Source organism: Homo sapiens, chromosome 1 (genome assembly GCF_000001405.40).
Source record: "Homo sapiens chromosome 1, GRCh38.p14 Primary Assembly".
Classification (NCBI taxonomy): domain Eukaryota; kingdom Metazoa; phylum Chordata; class Mammalia; order Primates; family Hominidae; genus Homo; species Homo sapiens.
The window spans coordinates 179,549,359-179,576,105 of record NC_000001.11 but is presented as its reverse complement, the minus strand read 5'-3'; the positions used below and the strand labels follow the sequence as shown (position 1 = coordinate 179,576,105).

At 41.7% G+C, this 26,747-nt stretch overlaps 2 protein-coding genes across 23 annotated transcripts in view, besides 1 other annotated feature; one reads left to right on the top strand and one right to left on the bottom strand.

Moving 5' to 3' along the window:
* On the top strand, nucleotides 158–25,567 carry NPHS2 (NPHS2 stomatin family member, podocin). 5 transcript variants are annotated; one of them, NM_014625.4, is made up of 8 exons: nucleotides 158–515; nucleotides 11,313–11,416; nucleotides 14,745–14,817; nucleotides 16,345–16,427; nucleotides 18,876–19,079; nucleotides 21,575–21,630; nucleotides 23,425–23,503; nucleotides 24,655–25,567. In NM_014625.4, the coding sequence occupies exons 1-8, from the start codon at nucleotides 242–244 to the stop codon at nucleotides 24,931–24,933; spliced, it is 1,152 nt and encodes a 383-aa protein (NP_055440.1). In that variant the 5' UTR covers nucleotides 158–241; the 3' UTR covers nucleotides 24,934–25,567. The 5 variants fall into 5 exon arrangements, with proteins under 5 accessions (NP_055440.1, NP_001284504.1, XP_005245540.1 ...); NM_001297575.2 differs by lacking the exon at nucleotides 18,876–19,079; XM_005245483.4 differs by lacking the exons at nucleotides 11,313–11,416; nucleotides 14,745–14,817.
* Nucleotides 21,371–26,747, bottom strand: part of AXDND1 (axonemal dynein light chain domain containing 1) — a 189,031-nt gene continuing 183,654 nt past the window's right edge. For all 18 annotated transcript variants that reach the window (NR_073544.2, XM_011509168.2, XM_011509169.2 and 15 more), the window contains one exon: nucleotides 21,371–21,594. Coding sequence is in view for 17 of the 18 variants with exons in the window: in XM_011509168.2 (XP_011507470.1) it covers nucleotides 21,587–21,594 (8 nt within the window). In the remaining variant the exon portion in view is untranslated. The remainder of the gene's footprint in view (nucleotides 21,595–26,747) is intronic.
* Nucleotides 24,510–24,559: a silencer, noted in NCBI's record as "silent region_1590". NCBI's record gives its function as "represses an Ori minimal core promoter by ATAC-STARR-seq in GM12878 lymphoblastoid cells {active_cell/tissue: GM12878}" and the evidence as "EXISTENCE:reporter gene assay evidence [ECO:0000049][PMID:35858748]".

The following is a 26,747-nucleotide window of genomic DNA, read 5'->3' as shown; positions in this document are numbered from 1 at the left end:
GCCGCCCCGGCCGTGGGAGTCGGCGGGCGCAGTCCACAGCTCCACCAAGACACAGCTGTCGGGGTTCCGGGTGCGCCCCGCCCGCGGCCCCGGTGTCCCGCCCCTCGCCCTCAGCCCCCACCCGACGGTCTTTAGGGTCCCCCGGGCACGCCACGCGGACCCGCAGCGACTCCACAGGGACTGCGCTCCCGTGCCCCTAGCGCTCCCGCGCTGCTGCTCCAGCCGCCCGGCAGCTCTGAGGATGGAGAGGAGGGCGCGGAGCTCCTCCAGGGAGTCCCGCGGGCGAGGCGGCAGGACTCCGCACAAGGAGAACAAGAGGGCAAAGGCCGAGAGGAGCGGCGGAGGCCGCGGGCGCCAGGAGGCTGGGCCCGAGCCGTCGGGCTCCGGACGGGCGGGGACCCCGGGGGAGCCCCGAGCGCCCGCCGCCACGGTGGTGGACGTGGATGAGGTCCGAGGCTCCGGCGAGGAGGGCACCGAGGTGGTGGCGCTGTTGGAGAGCGAGCGGCCCGAGGAAGGTACGGATTCAGCACCACTATCTGCTACTTTTCCAGGTGGTAACTAAGGGGCGTCAGATAAGGTGGAAAGGGTCATCCCCACGAGACCCACTGAAGCCAGAGCAGATTGCTGGATGCTCAGGTTCCCAGGAACGGAAGGGCGTAAGTTAGGAACCCAGCAACCTGCTATGGTGAGCAAAGAACATCAGAAGAAATACAAATATCACTATATACTGGTCTCGGGGCCAGCCTTGGATGGGACTGGGGAGCGAGTGTGGTACAGGTTGGGGACGAAGCAACTTGGCAAAGGAGCCATGGACTTGGTTTTTGTGGCCATGGAGGGGCATACGGGCACCTAATTTAAGTAAAGACATGCACGAGCTGGTGGCTGTAGGCTGTAGGCTTATTCTTCTTCCAGCGTCCCCACCCCTCGGTCTTACCTAAAAGCATTTTAAACTTCTGGGAAGATGATCATTCTTTCTGAAAAGCAGTCGCAGCAGAGCCAAGTGAGGAAGAGCCACACCTGAGTTTAAATCACAGCTCAACCACTTGCTAGCCATGTGATCATAGGAAGGACCTTAACCATCTCTCCTATAACAGTACCTGCCTCAGAGGGTAGTGGTAAGGATACAATGAGAAAAGGCATCCAAAGCACTTTGCACAAAGTCTGGAACAAAAACTTACTCAATTCCAGCTGCAAGCTAAGAGAGAGGAAAATTAGATCAAAGGAGGGAATGCAAAGAAAGGTGTCTCTTTTGCTTCTGCAGGAGAAACAACTCTTGGGAAAATTTTGTCTACCTCCAGTCTTTTTTATAATGAGTGGAAGAAAAAAATGATTACCACTTTAGTGGGATGACAGGTGTTAAAAGAAATTAAATAAGGAATAGTGTGTTATATTGCTTCCTGCTGGCTCTGAAGTTTTAACATTTCCTAGTTACCAGCAAAGCAGTACATGCTGGATCACTGAAAGCTACCATTTAAGGAAGATTTCTGCAGTTGGGGTATAATTTAAATGGGTCACGTTAATACTGTTTTGCCCAGTTGATGATACCCTTTCATCAGTCAGAAACCTCTGTTCAGTAAATGGTTGCTGGGTTCAATGCTGAGGTTAGAGGGCTTGTAACTGTGAGGCAGCAGATCACACTGGTAGGGTAGACAAGTAAGGAAGCCACCATTTATGAAACCCCTACTATATGCCAGGCACACACTGGGTGTTTTACTGAGTTATTTAATCTCTCACCATCCTCTTATCACAGATGAGGAAACATGCTCTGAGAAATTAAGTAACATGCCCAAGTCGTGTAGCTGGGAAGTAGAGAAGCCAAAATCCCAGAGTAAGACAGTCTGATTGAAATGCTCACCCTTGCTTGCTGCTGCCCCTCATTTCTGGTCATGGTCCTATAGCTGTGGCCTTGGGCACCTTTTTGGGCCTCAGTCCCTACAGCTACAGAGTAACAAAAGCAGGAGACCTCAAGCAATGGGCGAGCAGTCCCACTAAGGATGAAGTGACCTTTGCTGAGCCCTTGTGTGGGAGGTTTCTGAAGCTCACGGGGAACAGAGAGTAACATCCCCTCCTCTTTTTCACCTAGCACCACACTCCCAAAGGCAGGCTACTTAAGACGGGAGAAATGAAAAGGCGCTTCACCTCACCAAAATGTTGGGGACTCTCAGACAATGTTTAAAGGTTTTCCTGCTTGAATAATTAATGTTTCACTATTCACTTAAACCAAACAAGTTGGATATTCAAGCAACTTATTCTAACAGAATAATATTTTGGGGGTAAATCTTCACGTTAGGTTTGAGGATATAAATTAGTTTTCTACGCATATCTCTCGCTACTGTATGAAGGAATTTTTGAGGCCTTTCTTCATTTATAAAATGTAATTTTGTATATGCATTTATTTATTTTTACTTGCCATGGCTACCACTGGTAACTGAAACATATTTATGAACTAATTAAAACTGGCAATGATACTGTTAGTCATTGTCCTTGAAAGAGAATATTATAAAAATTAATATGTTGGTAGAGCAGCATTTCCCAGAGTAGGTTCCATGAGAAATAAGTTCCATAGAATATCAATGAGCGTTCCTTAGAGAAAATATTACCTGGTCAAATGTGTGTAAACAAAGCTAAGAATGCTTTGCGAGATTCTCATAGCTTCAATGTCCTGAAGAGCACTGGGAACTCCAGGAATGGGATGTAGTGCCTAGTATTCTCTAAACTCATTTGCCCAGGAAGTTCTTCTTTGGTGGAGCACTCCGTGGGATTAGTATTTCGTAGGATGGCCTTTAGAAACTGCCATACTATGGTATTCAGTGCTGATTTTGTTTTTGTGCTGGTGCAGCTTGCATCTCTGTCCTCTTCTTCAAGTGATCTGCACATCAATTTGGTGGTGACCTTTCTGGGGCATGAAAATCAAATTTTCAGGCCTACTAATTAGTTATCCCCTTTGTCCCCATCTCTTAAAAATAAGATTTTAGGCCAGGTGCCATAGCTCATACCTATAATCCCAGCACTTAGGGAGGCTGAGGTGAGAGGATCACTTGAGGCTTGGAGTTTGAGACCAGCCTGGGCAAAATAGCGAGACCCCATCTCTGCAAAAAAATAAATTAGCCAGGTAAGGTGGCATGCACCTGTAGTCCCAGCTACTTGAGAGGCTAAGGTGGGGGGACTGCTTGAGCCCAGGAGGCCGAGGATGCAGAAAGCCATGATTGCATCACTGCACTCCAGCCTGGAGAGAGCAAGACCCAGTCTCAAAAGAGAGAAAAAAAGAAGGAAAGATGAAAGAAAAGAAAGAAAGAAAGAAGGGAAGGAGGGAGGGAAGGAGGGAGGAAGGGAAGGAAGGAAGGAAAGAAGGAAGGAAGAAAGGAAGGAAAGTAGACTACCATTTCCTAATTTTTAGTCACCTTCTAGTCCTCTACGATCTTTTTAAACTGGCAAATAATATTGCTTTAGTAAGTTTTCTAGTACCTGGAGGTTAAAATTCTTGAAATTTTCATAACTCTTACATTTAAATCATTTTCATTCCTCCTTTCTTCTCACACTCAACTAATATTTATTGAGCACATGTATGGTGCCAGGCACTATTCTAAGCCCTGGGGGCATACTGTAAATAAGACAAGACCCCAAGAAGCTTGTGTTCTTGAGACTGACTCTCCTTGATATTGTTTCATTTATCACCCAAGCATCTTGGATGTTCTGAACCCCAGTTCCTTATCACTTTTTTATACATATTAGTAGGTGAATATTACCCCATAAAGTTAATTTTCAAAGACTATTGAGATCAACACCTTAATGGAGGTGTTAAAATGATGGAACTTCAGACATTAAGGCTTGTAATGAATGGGGAAGTTATTTCATGGAAGATAAGCCTCTGGACATGTGCTTGGAATCACTTAAAACAAACCGGACAGAAGATGGCCAAATAGGAACAGCTCCGGTCTACAGCGCCCAGCATGATCGACACAGAAGACAGGTGATTTCTGCATTTCCAACTGAGGTAACTGGTTCACCTCACCAGGACTGGTCGGAAAGTGAGTGCAGCCCATGGAGGGTGAGCTGAAGCAGGGCAGGGCGTTGCCTCACCCAGGAAGCACAAGGGGTCGGGGGATTTCCCTTTCCTAGCTAAGGGATGCCATGACAGACTACCTGGAAAAACAGGACACTCACACCCAAATACTGTGCTTTTCCCAAGCTCTTAGCAACCTGCAGACAAGGTGATCCTCTCCCGTGCCTGGCTCGGTGGGTCCCATGCCCAAGGAGCCTTGCTCACTGCTAGCGCAGCAGTCTGAGATTGATCTGCGAGGCCGCAGCCTCGCTGGGGGTGGGGTGTCCACCATTGCTGAGGCTTGAGTAGGTAAACAAAGTAGCCAGGAAGCTTGAACTGGGCGGAGCCCACCATAGCTCAACAAGGCCTACTGCCTCTAGACTCCACCTCTGTGAGCAGGGCATAGGTGAACAAAAGGCAGCAAACAACTTCTGCAGACTTAAACATCCCTGTCTGACAGCTCTGAAGAGAGCAGTGGTTCTCCCAGCACAGCGTTTGAGCTCTGAGAATGGACAGACTGCCCCCTCAAGTGGGTCCCTGACCCCCGTGTAGTGTAACTGGGAGACACCTCCCAGTAGGGGCCAACAGACACCTCATATAGGCGGCTGCCCCCCTGGGATGAAGCTTTCAGAGGAAGCATCAGGCAGCAATATTTGCTGTTCTGCAGCCTCCGCTGGTGATACCCAGGCAAACGGGGTCTGGAGTGGAACTCTAGCAAACTCCAACAGATCTGCGGCTGAGGGACCTGACTGTTAGATGGAAAACTAACAAACAGAAAGGAATAGCATCAACATCAACAAAAAGGTCATCTATGCCAAAACCACATCTGTAGGTCACCAACATTAAAGACCAAAGGTAGATAAAACCACAAAGATGGGGAGAAACCAGAGCAGAAAGCTGAACATTCTAAAAATCAGAGCGCCTCTTCTAAACCAAAAGGTTGCAGCTCCTTGCCAGCAATGAAACAAAGCTGGATGGAGAATGACTTTGAGGACTTGACAGAAGTAGGCTTCAGAAAGTCAGTAATAACAAACTCCTCCAAGCTAAAGGAGGATGTTCGAACCCATCGCAAGGAAGCTTAAAACCTTTAAAAAAGATTAGACGAATGGCTAACTAGAATAAACAGTATAGAGAAGACCTTAAATGACCTGATGGAGCTGAAAACCATGGCACAAGAACTTCATGACGCATGTGCAAGCTTCAATAGCCAATTCAATCAAGTGGAAGAAAGAGTATCAGTGACTGAAGATCAAATTAATGAAATAAAGTGAGAAGACAAGGTTAGAGAAAAAAGAGTAAAAAGAAACGAACAAAGCCTCCAAGAAATATGGGACTATGTGAAAAGACCAAATCTATGTTTGGATTGGTGTTGGGAGCAGGCCCCTCAAAATCTGGCCATAAACTGGCCCCAAAACTGGCCATAAACAAAATCTCTGCAGCACTGTAACATGTTCATAATGGCCCTAACGCCCAAGCTGGAAGGTTGTGTGTCTACGGGAATGAAGGCAAGGAACACCTGGCCTGCCCAGGGAGGAAAACCGCTTAAAGGCATTCTTAAGCCACAAACAATAGCATGAGCGATCTGTGCCTTAAGGACATTCTCCTGCTGCAGTTAACTAGCCCAACCTATTCCTTTCATTCGGCCATCCCTTTGTTTCCCATAAGGGATACTTTTAGTTAATTTAATATCTATAGAAACAATGCTAATGACTGGCTTGCTGTTAATAAAAACATGGGTAAATCTCTGTTCCGGGATCTCAGCTCTGAAAGCTGTGAGACCCCTGATTTCCCACTTCAAACCTCTATATTTCTGTGTGTGTGTCTTTAAATTCCTTTAGCACCACTGGGTAAAGGTCTCCCTGACCGAGCTGGTCTTGGCAGATTTGTGTACCTGAAAGTGATGGGGAGAATGGACCAAGTTGCAAAACACTCTTCAGGATATTATCCAGGAGAACTTCCCCAATCTAGCAAGGCAGGCCAACATTTAAATTCAGGAAATACAGAGAACACCACAAAGATACTCCTTGAGAAAAGCAACCCCAAGACACATAATTGTCAGATTCACCAAGGTTGAAATGAAGGAAAAAGTGTTAAGGGCAGCCAGAGAGAAAGGTCGAGTTACCCACAAAAGGAAGCCCATTAGACTAACAGTGGATCTCTTGGCAGAAATCCTATAAGCTAGAAGAGAGTGGGGGCCTACATTCAACATTCTTAAAGAAAATAATTTTCAACCCAGAATTTCATATCCAGCCAAACTAAGCTTCGTAAGGGAAGGAGAAATAAAATCCTTTACAGACAAGCAAAATGCTGAGAGATTTTATCACCACCAGGCCTGCCTTACAAGGGCTCCTGAAGGAAGCACTAAACATGGAAAGAAACAACCAGTACCAGCCACTGCAAAAACATGCCAAATTGTAAAGACCCTTGATGCTATGAAGAAACTACATCAATTAATGGGCAAAATAACCAGCAAACATCATAATGACAGGATCAAATTCACATATAACAATATTAACCTTAAATGTAAGTGGGCTAAATGCTCCAATTAAAAGACACAGACTGGCAAATTGGATAAAGAGTCAAGACCCATCGGTGTGCTGTATTCAGAGACCCATCTGATGTGCAAAGATTCACATAGGCTCAAAATAAAGGAATGGAGAAAGATCTACCAAGGAAATGGAAAGCGAAAAAAAGCAGGGGTTGCAATCCTAGTCTCTGATAAAACAGACTTTAAGATCAGAAGGGACAAAGAAGGCCATTACATAATGGTAAAGGGATCAATTCAACAAGAAGAGCTAACTATCCTAAATATATATGCACCCAATACAGGAGCACCCAGATTCAGAAAGCAAGTTCTTAGATACCTACAAAGAGACTTAGATTCCCATGCAATAATAATGGGAAAATTTAACACCCTGCTCTCAGCATTAGACAGATCAATGACACAGAAAGTTAACAAGGATATCCAGGACCAGAACTCAGCTCTGCAACAAGCAGACCTAATAGGCATCTACAGAACTCTCCACCCCAAATCAACAGAATATATATTCTTCTCAGCACCACATCATATTTATTCTAAAATTGACCACATAATTGGAAGTAAAGCACTCCTCAGCAAATGTAAAAGAACAGAAATCACAACAAACTGTCTCTCAGACCACAGTGCAATCAAATTAGAACTCAGGATTAAGAAACTCACTCAAAACCACACAACTACATGGAAACTGAACAACTTGCTCCTGAATGACTACTGGGTAAATCACGAAATGAAGGCAGAAATACAGATGTTCTTTGAAACCAATGAGAACAAAGACACAACATACCAGAATCTCTGGGACGCATTTAAAGCAGGATGTAGAGGAAAATTTATAGCACTAAATGCCCACAAGAGAAACCAGGAAAGATCTAAAATTGACACCCTAACATCACAATTAAAAGAACTAGAGAAGCAAGAGCAAACAAATTCAAAAGCTAGCAGAAGACAAGAAATAACTAAGATCAGAGCAGAACTGAAAGAGATAGAGACAGAAAAAAACCCTTTAAAAAATCAATGAATCCAGGAGCTGGTTTTTTGAAAAGATTAACAAAATAGACCGCTAGCAAGACTAATAAAGAAGAAAAGAGAGTAGATTCAAATAGATGCAATAAAAAATGATAAAGAGGATATCACCACCTATCTCACAGAAATACAAACTACCATCAGAGAATACTGTAAGCACCTCTACACAAATAAAGTAGAAAATCTAGAAGAAATGGATAAATTCCTGGACACATACACCCTCCCAAGACTAAACCAGGAAGAAGTCAAATCTCTGAATAGACCAATAACAGGCTCTGAAATTGAGGCAATAAATAATAGCCTACCAACCAAAAAAAGTCCAGGACCAGATGAATTCACAGCCGAATCCTACCAGAGGTACAAAGAGGAGCTGGTACCATTCCTTCTGAAACTCTTCCAATCAATAGAAAAAGAGGGAATCCTCCCTAACTCATTTTATGAGGACAACATAATCCTGATACCAAAGCCTGGCAGAGACACAACAAAAAAAGAGAATTTTAGACCAATATCCCTGATGAACATCGATGCAAAAATCCTCAATAAAATACTGGCAAATGAATCCAGCAGCACATCCACCACGATCAAGTTGGCTTCATCCCTGGGATGCAAGGCTGGTTCAACATATGCAAATCAATAAATGTAACCCATCACATAAACAGAACCAACAACAAAAACCACATGATTATCTCAATAGATGCAGAAAAGGCCTTTGACAAAATTCAACAGCCCTTCATGCTAAAAACTCTCAATGAACTAGGTATTGATGGAACATATCTCAAAATAATAAGAGCTATTTAGGACAAACCCACAGCCAATATCATACTGAATGGGCAAAAACTGGAAGCATTCCCTTTGAAAACCAGCACAAGACAAGGAAGCCCTCTCTCACCACCCTATTCGACATAGTGTTGGAAGTTCTGGCCAGGGCAATCAGGCAACAGAAAGAAATAAAGGGTATTCAGTTAGGAAAAGAGGAAGTCAAATTGTCCCTGTTTGCAGATGACAAGATTGTATATTTAGAAAACCCCATCATCTCAGCCCAAAATCTCCTTAAGCTGATAAGCAACTTCAGCAAAGTCTCAGGATACAAAATTAATGTGCAAAAATCACAAGCATTCCTATACACCATTATCAGAAAAACAGAGAGCCAAATCATGAGTGAACTCCCATTCACAATTGCTACAAAGAGAATAAAATACCTAGGAATCCAACTTACAAGGGACGTGAAGGACCTCCTCAAGGAGAACTGTAAGCCACTGCTCAACTAAATAAAAGAGGATAGAAACAAATGGGAGAACATTCCATGCTCATAGATAGGAAGAATCAATATCATGAAAATGGCCATACTGCCCAAAGTAATTTATAGATTCAATGCCATCCCCATCAAGCTACCAATGACTTTCTTCACAGAACTTGAAAAAACTACTTTAAAGTTCATATGGAACCAAAAAAAGAGCCCACATTGTCAAGACAATCCTAAGCAAAAGGAACAAAGCTGGAGGCATCACACTACCTGACTTCAAACTATACTACAAGGCTACAGTAACCAAAACAGCATGGTATTGCTACCAAAACAGAGGTATAGACCAATGGAACAGAACAGAGGCCTCAGAAATAACACAACACATCTACAACCATCTGATCTTTGACAAACCCAACAAAAACAAGCAATGGGGAAAGGATTCCCTATTTAATAAATCGTGCTGGGAAAACTGGCTACCCAAACATAGAAAGCTGAAACTGGATCCCTTCCTTACACCTTACACAAAAATTGATTCAAGATGGTTTAAAGACATAAATGTTAGACCTAAAACCATAAAAACCCTAGAAGAAAACCTAGGCAATACCGTTCAGAACATAGGCATGGACAAGGACTTCATGACTAAAACACCAAAAGCAATGGCAACAAAAGCCAAAATAGACAAATGGGATCTAATTAAACTAAAGAGCTTCTGCACAGCAAAAGAAACTATCAGCAGAGTGAACAGGCAACCTACAGAATGGGAGAAGATTTTTGCAATCTACCCATCTGACAAAGGGCTAATATCCAGAATCTACAAAGAACTCAAACAAATTTACAAGAAAAAAACAACCCCATCAAAAAGTGGGTGAAGGATATGAACAGACACTTCTCAAAAGAAGACATCTATGCAGCCAACAGACACATGAAAAAATACTCATCATCACTGGTCATCAGAGAAATGCAAATCAAAACCACAATGAGATACCATCTAATGCCAGTTAGAATGGCAATCATTAAAAAGTCAGGAAACAACAGATGCTAGAGAGGATGTGGAGAAATAGGAACGCTTTTACACTGTTGGTGGGAGTGTAAATTAGTTCAACCATTGTGGAAGACAGTGTGGCAATTCCTCAAGGATCTAGAACTAGAATTACCATTTGACCCAGCAATCCCATTACTGGGTATATACCCAAAGGATTATAAATCATGCTACTATAAAGACACATGCACACGTATGTTTATTGAGGCACTATTCAGAAGAGCAAAGACTTGGAACCCAAATGTCCATCAATAATAGACTGGATTAAGAAAATGTAGCACATATACACCATGGAATACTATGCAGCCATAAAAAAGGATGAGTTCATGTCCTTTGTAGGGACATGGATGAAGCCGGAAACCATCATTCTCAGCAAACTATCACAAGGACAGAAAAGCAAACACCACATGTTTTCACTCATAGATGGGAAATGAACAATGAGATCACTTGGACACAGGGCGGTGAACATCACACACTGGGGCCTGTCGGGGGGTGGGGAGCTGGGGGAGGGATAGCATTAGGAGAAATACCTAATATAAATGATGAATTGATGGGTGCAGCAAACCAACATGGCACATGTATACCTATGTAACAAACCTGCACGTTGTGCACATGTACCCTAGAACTTAAAGTATAAAAACAAAAAACAACAACAAAAACAAACAGACACATGTAAAGTAAAGCTCAGTGCTTTTTATGTGTATGTGTTATTTTATCCTTCTGCCAGAGATAGGTGATATAGCTCATGAACTAGTTATTATGGGATAGTCATGAGATGTTAGCATCCTCATAATATAGTGAAGAAACTGAGGCGTGAAAAGGTCATACGCCTTGCCTAAGGTCATCTGGATATGAAACAGTAGAGCCAGAACTGGAATCCAGACCTTCTTCACAAATTTTGTGCCTGTTCCAGTATACCCCCACTCCCTTTCTTTTTTATTTTATTTTTGAGACAAGATCTAGCTCTGTCACCCAGGCTGGAGTACAGTGGTGCAGTCATAACTCACTGCAGCGTCAACCTCCCAGGCTCAACCTTTCTTCCCACCTCAGCCTCCTGCGTAGCTGGAACTACAGGCACGCACCACCATACCCAGCTAGTTTTTAATTTTTTTTTTGTACAGACAGGATCTCACTATGTTGCCCAGGCTGATCTTGAACTCCTGGACTCAAGCGATCCTCTCACCTCAGCCTCCCAGAGTGCTGGGATGACAGGCGTGAGCCACTGTGCCTGGTCCCCACTACCTTTCCAGGAGCCTGCTCCTCCCCAGGCCCTGTGAACTCTGACTACTCTGATTTGACTTATTCTAATATTTCCAGCAAAGTCTCCAAGTTGTGCCAACTCCAATACCAAGAATTGGACCAACAGATGCTAGTCAGTGAATACAGTGAAGTTTCAATATAATTATTCTTTTGCTTTAATTTTTTTAAGGTACCAAATCCTCCGGCTTAGGGGCCTGTGAGTGGCTTCTTGTCCTCATTTCCCTGCTCTTCATCATCATGACCTTCCCTTTTTCCATCTGGTTCTGCGTAAAGGTGAGATTCCATAAGGACCCAATAGGTAATTTCCTGAGGCCTCTCACTGGCCACACCATGCCCATTCTCACTTCTGTTTTCTGGTACATGTTATTGCTCCATGTGGAATGCCCTCACCCCAGACTCACCTTCCAGGATAGCTTACTCCTCCAAGACCTTGCTCAAATGTGAACAGGAAGCCTTCCTTGACTCCCCCAGACTGTCATTCCCTTCCTGGTGCTCCCATGTCACTCTGCTTTCACTTTGTTCTAACACTTACCATGTGTATTATATTGGCTATGTCTCGTTCATCTGCATTCTGTGACCAGAATGGATCATGACATCCACTCCACACACTTCCACGAAACTTCTCAGGCAGCTTCTATAGACCATGAGTCATGATTATGTTTGGCCCACAGGTGGTTACAGATGCCTGTCCCTGAAGTAAATGAAGACCTGTGTCCATTCTGGAAGCACATGCCAAGATGGAATTAGAGGAGCAAGAGATTTATTGGGAGATATTGCCTGTGAAAGATTAACGGGAAAGAAAACAAGAGTAGTCAGGAGAAGCCTTCAGACAGTTATGCAGGCCTGACACTTGTGATATGAGAAGGGGAAGAAAGGATTGGGCAGAAAGAGCCTCTGACTGTGGTGCAGCTCTGAGAAAGCATTGGCCAGCCCAAAAGGGAACTCCGGAGCAAGGTTTGCTTCATAGGAGTCCCACAGTGGGCAGAAATGGCACGGCCCTAGTACTCCTGCCATCTCAGTCACTGGCTGTAGCTGCAGAGAAGACTGTGTCCTTGGCTGAAACAGTACACCTGCTGCTGGGGCTGTTGTTGGTTTTACTCCTCACAGCAAGCAGCAGCTCTTTCCTCTTCCCCTTCACCTTTCCCTCCCCATTTTCCTCCCCAAGATACATTTTGGTATCTTGTGTTTTTGTTTTCATTTATCTCAAAGTATTTTCTCATTTTCCTTGTGATTTCTTCTTTAACCCATTGGTTAGAGTATGTTGTTTAATTTCCACATATTTGTCAATTTCTCAAATTTCCTTCTGTTATTGATTTCTAATTTAACTTCATTGTAATAAGAGAATACACTTTATGTTATTTCAATCCTTTTAAGTTTGTTTAAGTTAGTTTTATGGCCTAGCATATTATCTATCCTGGAGATGATGTTTCATGTATGCTGGAAAAGAATGTATTATTCTGTTGTTGCTGGGTGGAGATGTTCTGTGTAGATGTCTGTTAGGTCTATTTGTTGACAGTGCTATTCAAGTCTTCCATGTCTTTCTAGTTCCATCCATTGTTTAAAGTGGGGTATTGAAGTCTCCAACTGTCACTACTGAATTGTCTATTTCTACTTTGAATTATTTTTGTCTTTTTCCTCATGTATTTTGGAACTCTGTTTTTAGATGCATCTATGCTTATCATTGACACACTTCCCTAATGCATTGATCCTTTTATCATTATACAATGTCCCACTTTATTGCTAGTAACATGTTTGCTTCTTTTGAAGTCCATTTTCTCTGATGTTAGGATAGCCATTCCCGCTCTACTTTAGTTACTGTTCATATGGTATATCTTTTCCATCTTTTACTTTCAGTCTGTTCATATCTTTGAATATAAAGTGTGTCTCCTATAGACAGTGTATAGTTGGCAGCAGGCTCTTCTCAAAGGGTGACCTGAGCACCTGCATGACTGCCACAAGATACAACACTGACTCAGCCATGGTTTTTGGGAAAGGCTCTCAGATCTGGTCACTTAAGATGGTAAGCCCTAAGAAGCCAATTAGGGAGAGGAAACAAAAGCAGAACCAGGCAGTTATATTTGAGCAAGGTCTTGAAGAAATAAGACTCCCCTTCATCTCTGGGGAGAATTTGTTTTTTCCAATAAAAGCAGGTAAGAAACAAGTAATGCTAGGAAACCAAGCAATTGGGAATTGCTTGGCATGCTCTAAGAACCACATACAGTCATTCATTCTGATTGTTTCAAGCAAGGCAGTGTTCTGGCCTCATAAAATTGTAAACCTCATGAAGACAAACAAAACATGGTTCCCAGCCTCAAAGGACTTACAGTGGGTTAGTAGATCCTGTTACTTTAAGAAGCACATTTCAAAATGTGTTTTGTTGGGCCTCTTTATCACATTTTTATATTTGACTAGTTATTATTCATTGGAGCTTTTTAAAGTGGAGGGAGGATAAGGAAGGAAAATAAATTTGTCTATAGTCACAAATCATTCTTTCATTTATTCAGTAAATATTTATTGAATACTTACAATGTATCAGGCATTTTTTAAGCACTGAGAAAAAAAAGATTAATTCCGTATCATCAAGGAGTGCCTCATCTGGTGGGGCATATCTTAACATGTAAATAAGCAGACCAAGTTAAATCAGTGATAAACACGCAATTGAACTCAGATTCTGATACTGGGTCAGAAAGTGAAGTTTATTTTTAAAGTAGTGTGCAGTAACTTCTCTATTTCTCTTCTAATAGACATTCTCCAGATTCTTTTTGTCATTTAAAAGTATCTCTGCACATTTTCAGGGTAAACACAAATCTTCTAGATCTATCACCAGTGAAAATTGGCAAATTAAAATCCAATTGAGGCTGGCCACGGTGGCTCACGCCTGTAATCCCAGCACTTTGGGAGGCCAAAGCAGGTGAATCACCTGAGGTCAGGAGTTCGAGACCAGCCTGACGAATATGGCGAAACCCTGTCTCTACTAAAAATACAAAAAATTAGCCAGGCATGGTGGCTTACACCTGTAATACCAGCTACTTGGGAGGCTGAGGCAGGAGAATCGCTTGAACCCGGGAGGCAGAGGTTGCAGTGAGCCGAGATCATGCCACTGCACTCCAGTCTGGGTAACAAGAGCGAAACTTCATCTAGAAAAAAAAAAATCCAATTGAATCATTTTGAAGCAGCCTCAGAAGAAATTGCACTCTGAAACAAAACATCACAAGTGGTATTAAAATATACTCCCTCTTTCCATTAAATAGCTAATGAGCAATACATATAAAAGCTAGTGCAGAACTCACAGTAAAATATAAGATTTAATATGCCTTGATAAGATTAATTTAGGGAAAGTTGGCCATGGATTTTAGATAATCATAAGTCTTTAATCAAAATTCTGTCTATGGGTTCAAAAATTAACATGGTTAATATACTTTTTCATTTCTGAAATTTTACACTTACTAAATATAGATTTTGGAAACTTAAGTATTAATAGAAATTTTTTCCTGGTTCTCAAAACAAAAAATTTCTGATATCTAGGATCATTCTTATGCCAAGGCCTTTTGAAGACTTTTTCTTTCTGGGAGTGATTTGAAAGGATTAAATTTCTCTTTAGGTTGTACAAGAGTATGAAAGAGTAATTATATTCCGACTGGGACATCTGCTTCCTGGAAGAGCCAAAGGCCCTGGTAAAAAAACACTCTTTTTTTTCTAAACACCTCTCTCCTGACTTGCCAATTTCTTCAACCCATGCAGATTTGTAATATGGACCTCAGATTAAATGAAGTAACTTGATTCATGATATCTGAATTTTCCAATCTGTTACTTATAGGTTATTCAAATATTCTTCAGAGACTATTACTACTAGGTCATAGGTAGCCAAGAGAGAGAATTGGTACAGAGAGCCCACATGCCAGGGCAAGGCTTGCTGGAATAGCAAGTTAGCTTAGGACCAATGGCTGGGGACTGATTTGAGTACGATGTGTATATGGTCAGAGTCCTGTGAATTCTCAGAGAAAAGCTGAGCTAGTTCCCACTCCAGGTGCTCAGATCCAATCATGAGAAACAGGCAAAGTTCAGCATTCAAATAACAAGTTGCTCTTCAGTTATAGGGATTTAAAAAACATAGATTAAGCATTTCTTGTGGCTCAGACTCTGTGCTAACCATAAGACATGGTCTCTGATCTCAGGACCTTAAGATCTAGTGGAGTTGATGTCCAGAGGTCCAAGCTCATTATGGGAGACAGATAGAAGTATGGTCAGTCTGAAAGGTTTAGTAGTGGGGGTTTGGAGATCTAAGTCAGCCAGGAAGGCATGAGGAGCAAAGTCCCATGTGTATATTATATTGGAGAGGGTCTGAGTTCCAGGACACGCCCACAGAGACCAGACTAGGGACAAATATCAGAGTTTGAAGATTCAGAATGAATATATGAGTCCACACAAAAGTAGAACCAGACTCTGTAGTTCCAGGACAAAGAACATCTTGTTCTGGCCCTGGTTTTCAGGAACCTTCTCAATTGGCACTGAGGAGGACTAGTAGCTGACTAGTATCCTGGACTCTGTGAGGTGCTGCTTGTTTCAACAAAGCTTTGGCTTTTGCAGGAGCCCACAGAATCCAATGGGCTCTCAGAAAATCTCAATAAATCAATCTACAAATGTTTATTGCACATTGATCCTATATATTATATTGGGTGGGTGAGGACTAACTAGCCAACCAGAAAGCTGGTATCATGATAATTGCTATTCTGATTACTTCTGGGGCTCACATTCTAACGAATATGACATGGAGGTTGCTGGCTCTAAAGTTTGACACCTGGGTACACTCATGGATTCAAAAACAATTTTAGAGAGCACCTAAAAGGCACTAAGTCAGACACTAAGGCTAACAATAGTGCATAGGACACTACTTAGGAAATTCAATTCTAGTGAAAGGACAGACACGCAATTGAGACCTGGGGAGGCAGCACCATGACTAAAAGGACCACACAGCCCAGTTTGCTGGGAATAATCCCTGTTTATACCTATTGTCCTGGATTACATATTATAATATATAATAGTGCTCTCCTTTTACCCTCAGGTGGAGGTGGGATGGGCCAATGGTCTGTAATTAGAGGCTAAGAAAAGTAATGTAGTGTGCAACCTGACCCCAGAAAGGTGAAACCCAAACAGCCTTCATGCTAGCTATTTATCTGTCACTTCCTCCTCCTCTCTTTTAGGTCTTTTCTTTTTTTTGCCCTGCCTGGATACCTACCACAAGGTTGACCTTCGTCTCCAAACTCTGGAGATACCTTTTCATGAGGTAAGCCAAATGATGGCTTTTGCTTTCTCTATACATTTTCCATGGTCTACCTACCGTGGACAAAATGATTATTTATACTCAAAAATAGGAAAGAAAAATAATGATATGGACTACATCATAACTTAAAACTTTTGTGCATCAAAGGACACAATTAACAGAGTGCAAAGGCAATCTAGGGAATGGGGGAAAATATTTGCAAATCATATCTCATAAAGGGTTAATATTCAATATATATGAAGAACTCATACATCTCAACAACAAAAAAAGTAAACAACCTGATTTTAAAAATGGGCAAAGAACTTTGTGATAGTTAACCTTATGTGTCAGCCTGGCTAGGCCATGATCATTTGACCTATATTTGGCCAAACACATCTGGATGTTACTGTGAAGGTACTTTTTTAGATGGGATTAACATTTAAATCAGCAGACGTTGAGTAAAGCAGATTACCCTCCCCTAATGTGGGATGGGCCTCATCCAATTAATTGAAGGGCTCAAGAAAAAGACTGACCTCCCTTTGAGGAGGAAGGAATTCTTTCAGTAGAAAAGATAAACTCTTCCCTGGGTCTTCAGCCTGAAGATTTTAGACATGCTGGCTTCCATAAGCACATGAGCCAATTCTTTAAATCAGTATTTTTTTCTCTCCCCACCCCAGCATACCTATATGTGTACGTGTGTGTGTACATATATATGTATGATGAAACCTAAACACACACATACACATTCTATAGTTTCTCTAGAGAACCCTAATACGAACTTGAACAGACATTTCTCAAAGGATGACATCCAAAGAAGATGAAGATATATAAATGGGCAACAAGCATATGAAAAGATGCTCAGCATCACTACATTAGGAAAATACAAATCAATATCACAAAATATCACTTTACACTCATTAACATGGCTACTGTTTTTTTAAAAACCTGGAAAATAACAAGTGTTGAAGAGGATGTAGACAAATTGGAACCCTCGTGCACTGTTGGTAGGAAAATGTAAAATGGTGCAGCCACTGTAGAAAACAGTAGAGCAGCTCCTCAAAAAATTAAGAATAGAATTACTGTATGACCCAGCAATTCCACTTCTGCATATATACCTAAAAGAATTGAAAGTAGGGTCTTAAAGAATATTTATACAACTGTGTTCATAACAGCATTATTCACAATAACCAAAAGGAAGAAGCAACCCAAGTGTCTACTGATGACTGAAGAGATAAATAAAATGTGATATATAACCCACAATGGAACATTATTCGGCCTTAAAAAGAAAGGAAATTCTGACATTCTACAAGATAGATGAACCTTGAGGACATTATGCTGACTGAAATAAGCCAATCACACACACACACAAAATACTGTATGATCCTACTCATATGAAGCACCTAGAGTAGTCAAATTCATAGAGACTGAAAGTAGTATGGTGGTTGCAGGGGTTGAGAGAAGGAGAAATTGGAGAGTTATTATTTCATGGGTACAGAGTTTCAGTTTTACAAGATGAAAGAGTTATGGAGATGGATGGTGGTGATAGTTGCACAATATTATGAGTGTATTCAGTATCACTGGACTGTATACTTAAAAATGGTTAAGATGGTAAGTTTTATGGTATATGTATTTTAACACAATAAACAAAATTGGGGAAAAAAAACTCACCCCAATCCTGTTACCCATAGTTAACTGTTGATATTTTGGAGTATATCCTTTCAGATTTTTCAGTGTATGTGGTTATATTTACAGATGGGTATATATATATACACACATATATCATACCATATATACTGTTTTGTAATGTGTCTTTCTTAACCCAACAATATATTGTGATCATCTTTTCATATATTAGCTAAATGCTTCTATCTCTTTATTTTAAATGGACATACAGCATTTCATTTAGTGGCTGTATCACAATTTACTCAACCAATTCCCTATTGTTGATGTTAAATTCTTTCCAATTTGTATTCCAATTAGCAATACTGTGAGTAACATCCTTATAGCTAAATCCTTAAAATATGTCCTTATGATCAATATAAAAAGGGAAATGTTAAGACATCTTTCTAGGGCTTATGATGTATATCATCAAAGCATCCCCTAACGTACACTCTAGCGAGCAACACATTAGAGTGCTTGTTTCCCAGAACATGCTTCTCTTTTAGCAGATGCTTTATTTTGGTATCAGTTTAGAAAGACCTGGTTTGGAATCAACTGAATGTCTTCTTATGAGAAAATTATTTCTGATTTTTTTTACAAAAGGATTTACCACAGGATTAAGTTGTGCATTCTTTCGTGTATTTAATAAAAATTTCATAATTTTCAAAAACATGTCTATTTTAAATAAAGGGTAGGCCAACTCCATTTTTCTCTTGCGGAGAAAATTCACTTTGAACACATTTAGTTCCTCTAACCCCACATAGGAAAGGAGCCCAAGAATCAAGCCTGTCATCCAAACTTTTTTCTGCCTAGATCGTGACCAAAGACATGTTTATAATGGAGATAGATGCCATTTGCTACTACCGAATGGAAAATGCCTCTCTTCTCCTAAGCAGTCTTGCTCATGTATCTAAAGCTGTGCAATTCCTTGTGCAAACCACTATGAAGCGTCTCCTAGCACATCGATCCCTCACTGAAATTCTTCTAGAGAGGAAGAGCATCGCCCAAGATGCAAAGGTACTTAGATAAACATAATGGCCAATATGCTGAAATATTTATCTTTTATTCATTTGTTCATTGGACATTTATTAAATCTTCTATGGCCAGTTCCATCCCTTAGGGGCCATCCCTTTGGGAGCTCATAGCTAGTTAGGAGGTTGCCAAATTGACTCTGAGTCAATTATAGTTATCAGTATGGTGCTTGTTAATCAGTCATTGCCGCAGTTTTTGCTCTCAAACCTACTCCAGTGACTTTAAATTCATCTCCAAGTACTCACCTAGTATTAAGTATTCAGAATGATTGCTGGCAGGAACGGTGGGGTTGGTGGGGATGGACAGGAGGGGTTGGTACACAAAGATGATAAAGCATGGTTCCCAGGAGCTTACTGTCTACCTGGGGAAACAAGCATAATGAGTGCCAAGTTAAATAATAAGTTCAAATAAGACTTCCAGATAACAAAAGCTAAGATGTCATAGACCTTTACATGATGAATTACCCAATCCATTGTCTAGATTTAATCAATTTGGAATTAGAGGGGAAAGAGCAAGAACTGCTTCACAAGCAGCTCCCTCTAGTCCACAGACAGCAAGCTCAGCAAGCTCATTCACGGCCAGGGTCGGTGGCTTTGATTCTTACCAAGGCAGGTAGGCAACAGGTATTCAGAGGAGAAGTGAGAAGACAGCAGGATTCCAGGCAGCTGGCCAATGGAGTGGCAATTACCACCAGCAATGGAGCCTGTCACTGAAGCAGTGGGGACACCCAGGCCCAGAACTGGGTTAGGAGGTTGTGAACCATGGTAGTTGGAAGGAGGACCTCAAATAGAGGGACCCCAAGAATCAAAGGCACTGGTGGCAATTATGCTTTATGGGATGTCCCCCTTCACCCTCCTTTCCTTATTCATCCTTCTCCTTTAAAGGATAAAGTCCAGACACTTGACATTCAAGCTTGCCCTTGTTACACTGATTATAATATATATGCAAGTGTTCTTTGACTTATAAACCATCATAAAGCAAAAAATATCGTAAGTCAAAAATGCATGTATCCTAATAAACCCATGATAAAAGTCGAAAATTGTCAAACCATTGCAAGTTGGGGACCATCTATCTAAGACACTGGTTTTCCCAGACTACAACCTCCATAGCAGCAGGGGCTATGTTTTATCCATCTCTTGGTCCTCAGCACAGGCCTGTCACACAGCAGGTAGATAATGTTTTTTGGATAAATAAATAAATGACCCAACTATTCTAGTCTCACCTCTTGCCACCCTTCTCCCACTGAATCTAATACTCCAACCTACTTTAGCTTTTGTCCAGCATTCAGCACTTTTATGCTCCCATTGCCTCCTCTTGGGCTGTATCTTCTGCATCGAATACTTCCCTTTTCTCCACAGGCAAGATTTTATTTGTCCTTTAAGATGCCACCTATTCTGCGACGTCTTTATCAACATTCCTTACTCTCACCCACACCCCCAAATTAGTCTTCTCAAGGTTCTCAATGCACTATGCTTACTGTTTGTCTAACCACTAAAAAATAATGAGAAAAGAAGTGTAAAAAGAAGAGTTTGGGTCAACATGGAGAGCTCCATGCCCTGCCCCTCCTTTCCAGAATCCACAGTCGATTTTCTTCCCTCTCCTGTTTCCAACTTCAATCAAGGGGGTGGATGGGACTGAGAAGCAGGAGGAAACTGGAACCACCAGCATCAGCTGTAGAAGTGAAAACATCCTATAAATGAAAGACATCTGGAAGAGAGACTAGAGACTGGTTCTCAACTCAGTGCATTTTAAAACAGATTTTTAAAATATATCTGTATTAGTTCCTATTACTTCTGTAACAAACTACCACAAACATGGTGGCTTAAAACCAAACAAAAATTATTTTCTTAGTTTCGAAGACCACAGAGTCCAAAATCAGTTTCAATGGGCTAGAGTCCAGGTGTCAGCTGGACCAATTTCTTCTGGAGGTTCTGAGAGGAGAATCCGTTTCCTTGCCTTTTCCAGCATCTGGTGGCTGCCTGCATTTCTCAGCTCGTGGCACCTTCCTCCATCTTTAGAGTGCATCATTCCATTTCCTGCTTCTATCATCATGTCACCTTCTCTTCTTCTGTAGTCAAATCACCATTTGCCTCCCTCTTATAAGGACACCTATAATTACATTTAGGGCCACCTGGATAATCCAGGATAATATCCCCATCTCAAGAGCCTTTAACCTAATCAAACCAGCAAAATCCCTCTTGGGGTAACATTCACAGATTCCAGGGATTAGGACATGGGATATCTTTGGGGACCATTATTCAGCATACCACACCATCTTCAATTGCACAGATATTTATTGGGTGGCACCATGCAAGTTAAACAACTCTTTGCAAGGCACTGTGAAGTTAAATACAACAGGCAAATAATGTCCTTTCAAAGGGAATGTTGTTCCTTAGTACAGAACAATGGCCACCAGGGTTTAGGCATGCTCTCCTCCCACCTGGAGGCTCCCACTGACATCTGAATTCTTCTTTCCACAGGTTGCCTTGGATTCAGTGACCTGTATTTGGGGAATCAAAGTGGAGAGAATAGAAATGTGGGTAGGAAATTAACTAGCAAGAACTGTATGATAAAGGAAAATATTCTGGTTTCATTTTAAATTTTTCATTTGAAAAATTATTTTCACTGAGTACTATAGCCATATCAGCATAAATTTATAAAAAAGAGAAACAAATCACCTAATATCTTACAGCCATAACACAATCACTATAACATTTGGACAAATTACTCTGATTATTTTTTTCTCTATGAATCTAAAAATTGTTTTAGATAAAATTTACATGAAATTTCCCATTTTAGGCCAGGCGCAGTGGCTCACACCTGTAATCCCAGTACTCTGGGATGCCAAGGTGGGTGGATCGCTTGAGGTCAGGAGTTTGAGACCAGCCTGGCCAACATGGTGTAACTCTTGTCTCTACTAAAAATGCAAAAATTAGCTGGGCGTGGTAGCACATGCCTGTAATCCCAGCTACCAGGGAGGCTGAGGCAGAAGAATCGCTTGAACCCGAGAGGCAGAGGTTTCAGTGAGCCAAGATCATGCCACTGTGCTTCAGCCACGACCACAGAGCGAGACTCGATCTCAAAAAAAAAAAAAAAAAATTAGCCAGGGGTGTTGGCAAATGCCTGTAATCCCAGCTACTCAGGAGGCTGAGGCAGGAGAATCACTTGAACCCGGGAGGCGGAGGCTGCAGTGAGTCGAGATTGTGCATTGCACTCCAGCCCGGGTGACAGAGTGAGACTCTGTCTCAAAGAAAGAAAAAAAGAAATGTCACATTTTTGCTATTTTAAACTGTGGTTTTAGTATAATATATTTACTAAGGGGTACATCCATTACTATTATCTAATTTCAGAACATTTTCATCATCCCGAAAGGAAGCCTGTACTTGTTAAGTGGGAATCCCCCATGTACTCCTTAATCCCTGGCAACCACTAATTTAGTTTCTGTCTCAATGGATTTGCCTCTTCTGGACATTTCACATAAATGGAATCATACAATATATGGCTTTTTGTGTCTGGCTTCTTTTCACTTAGCATAATGTTTTCAACGTTCAACCATGCTTGAGCATGAATCAGTACTTCATTACTTTTTATGATCAAATAATATTTCATTGTGAGGCTATACCACATTTTATTGGTTCATCAGCTGATGGACATTTAGGTTGTTTCTGCTTTTTGGCTAGTATGAATAATGCTACAGCAAGCATTAATTTGCAAGTTTTTGAGTGAACACGTTTTCAATTATCTTGGGTCTGTATCTAGAAGTAGAATTACTAGGTCACATGGTAACTCCGTATTTAACTTTTTGAGGGGCAGCTAACCTGTTTTCCATATATGCATTTTTATAGTTATAATCAGGGTCAAAAGACAATTTTGTACCTTTTATGCAATACATTAAGCGTTGTTCTTATTTGGTCAGTTGTACCCTTTTCAAAATCAATTCTTCTCTTTTATAAACTTGGATGAATTCCCCTTATCTTTATTATCAGTAGTGTGGCTCTTCAAGCCATTGTTCAAATTTATTAGTTGGGGCTTAGATTATATCCTAAGCGGAAAAACTGAGCACAGCTCATCAATACAAAACCTGCTGTGCTGATAATGAGAAACTACAGCTCTACTGTAGCATCAGCAATAATACAAAACTGCATTTGAGGCATCGACCTTGGAGATCTGCCTACTTTTGACCTCAGAAGTCTAGGAATGGCACACTCTGGTCACTCCAAATTTGCTACTCATCATGAGACAGCAGTAGAGAGGCTTGCAAGTCTGTGTGAAAGCTTTGGCCCCTAAATCATGGCTGCACACCTACATACCTGCATTCTTTCTTTTTCAGTAAAGATGTGAGGTTGCCAGCTGGGCTTCAGCACTCACTGGCTGTGGAGGCTGAAGCGCAAAGACAAGCCAAAGTGCGGGTGAGCACTCCATCCTCCCACCCAGACTGCCCTTTAGGAAGGCCTGCTCGTGGAGAACATTTCCCCTTTGCTTCCTTACTGTCCATTCATTAGGCACTGGGCAGAAGCTGTCTTGGGCCCTTACAACTCTATTAAAATTGCTCTCTTAAAGTGTGTTAATAGTCCCCTGACTAATGCAACTCCTCTCCCTCTCTGAAGCTACTGATAATAGTGACCACTCACTGCTTGAGTCTCACCTTCCCTCTCTCTCCTTAAAGGCATCTCCTCCACACACATCAATCCCTCTTCTCTAGTGCTGGCATCTTTTCCTGGGTAATCGTAGTCACCCTAACTTCTAACTTCTAGGTATCCCCTAGAACTGTATCCCAAGCTTGGCACAAGTTTTAGAGGGACAACCACGATCAGGGCCCAGTTCCCTCAATGCTAGAGCCAAGAGAAGGCTGTGCTACTCGGCTCCACTCAGGCATGACAGCAAGAGGCAAAGATGTGGCAGCTAGCAGCTTCTGGTAACTGAGGTGTGGGTGAGGGGGCCTTGGGAAGAGGAAAGTGAAGAATGAAGGGAGGCAGATTTCTCTGAAAGAACAGAGAGCAGGTGAAGATAAAAACCTGAACCAGTAAGAGGATCATTGCCTGTGGATCACTGAGGGGAGGCGGGGATGAGGAAGGGGAGGAGGATAGTCCCCAGGGCAGTTGCTTCTAGATCTCTGAGTGAAGTCCTCTTCACCCACTTTCAGGTAGCATTTGTGTAGTGAGCTCAGCACTTTCACTTCAGAAATGTTTACCCATTCACTTTCCCTGAGTTGGGGGTCACCCTTTCATAACGTCATGCCTTTGCATGGAATGCTGGCTAATCTTTTCTCTATGTTGGCAAAATCCTAATCTTTCAAGGCCCACCAGATGCTAATAACTCCCCTAATACTTCATTTATACTTGTGATGGCTCCTAACGCATTCCACCTTAAATTGTGATTAACAGTTTAATCTGTCTCCCCAGCTCAAGACCCTTCAGAAAGAAGAATAAACATGTTCTATGCTTAACCGTGCTTGCCACATAGTAGATGCTCAGTGCTTGTCTGCTGAGTCATACTGCATAGTGGTGAAGCCTTCAGGGAATGAAGAACAATCACTTTGCTTTCGTCACATGTTTTCTAGATGATTGCTGCAGAAGCGGAAAAGGCTGCTTCTGAGTCCCTGAGGATGGCAGCTGAGATTCTGTCAGGCACCCCTGCTGCCGTTCAGCTTCGATACCTCCACACCCTTCAGTCTCTGTCCACAGAGAAGCCTTCCACTGTGGTTTTACCTTTGCCATTTGACCTACTGAATTGCCTGTCTTCTCCCAGCAACAGAACTCAGGGAAGCCTCCCCTTCCCAAGTCCTTCCAAACCTGTTGAGCCACTAAATCCTAAAAAGAAAGACTCTCCCATGTTATAGGAAGGATGGGGCATAATGTGACTGTAAAGGGGCCTGCCATAGAAAAGTCACATGCCTGAGGGAGACACTCTGTCCTCATTCCCTGCCCTTCCTTTGGTTGCCATATGGAATGGCCATGGAATGCACGAAGTCACAATGCACCATCCATGAGAAGACGGTGAAATGATGTAATGACAGAGAAGGCAGACAACATGTTTCCGTGACTCATCTAGTCAGAGCAATTATGGGAAACAGCTTTGGTCAACATTCTACTTTGGAAAGAATTTTGAGTCTAGATGTGGTTAAATTTTGACTTCTGGGAACTTGGTTCAGATGTCCCTTTCACTGTATGTCCTCTGACCCCTTTGGCAAGGTTGCCACAGCTCCCACAGCCCTTCCTACAAGCACCTATCATTGGGCTTGTCACACTCTATTGCTCTTCTGTCCCAAAGATGCAGTCTTCTCTCCAATGATACTACCAAGTCTTAGTTTTCCTCAACCACACTCAATCTTTTTGCTCCACCCTGAATTCCTCACACCTAACCCTGATAGTTACCTAAAGTGACACTTAAATGTTTCAGAGTGAATGCAAAAAAGAGAGATGTACTTGGAGTCGGATATACAATTTATCCCTAATTAAAGCATTTAAAAGGAATTCTTTTTGTGGAGATTCCTTTTTTAAATAAAGAAATAAATAAAAGGACAAAAACATCTGACACATGTGGCTTAAAATCTGAGGGAGAATCACTATAAATAGTGGGCCAGAGAGTAATCTATTTTCAGTATAGAACTTACCAGCTTGTTTATTTCTTCGAACAGTAATAATATTAGGTAACCTACACATGCCCTGACATATTGTTTTCTTATACAGATATTTCTTAATATAGATACATTTCTCTAAGTCTTATTTTCCATTAATTTGCATTATACAATTAGAAATGCATATCTGCAGAAAAAATAAGCCAATAAGAAAGCATATCTATACTTACAGCAAATTCTCTATAAACTTAAAAAAGTCACTAACATTATAAAACATTACTAACATTACTAAAATAATGTTAGTAAATTCTGAAGCCAAAGGAACAGGCAAATCTCTAAACTATGCAGGGGTGCCGAAATATGGAAATCCAAATGTGGAATCCAAATGGCTCTCATATCCAAATAAGTCAAAGGCAGGTAACAAAATCTACCAGACCCAGGAGTATGGTGTCAGAAACAAGAAAGCAAACACTGATGAAGCAGCAACAGGACATGGGTTGGGGAACTCCTAGGTGATTTCCTAGAATGTCTCATCATCTAGGATGTGGAGCTTGCTTTCATGGACCAGCCGGGGCATGATCATAGGTGGTTTAGCCCATTTAAAGGGTCAATGGCAATCAGAGCACTCCTGAAGTGGGAAATATTTCTCATTATCACTGTGTTGGCCCACACCCATTCCAGTGTATTGGTTATTGGAATTAAGATGGCACCGAGGGTTGTTGGTCACTTTTCACACCATATATGACGGTTCCTGATCTCAGGATAGCAAATTTTGGCATGTGTAATGAAGAAGAAGGTAGAGTCATGCTGGGTCAGGCATAACAGAAGCCAAAAGCAGAACAAGCAGAAGTGAACACCAGGGTAAAAATGGCTTTTATGACTCTTCATACTTCCTTATAACACTGGTTTTTTGTCAAAGGCAGATTTTGCTTGCATATCTGGGGAGTGCCTATGGTATCTCCTATTGTTTGGTTTCCTCTGATGTCTGGCACAGGTCAATATTTAAATTTCTCATTGGCATGCCAGAGGGCTTTCAGGTCTGCTTGCTGGCATGCGTTGTCTTTCAAATTAACCAA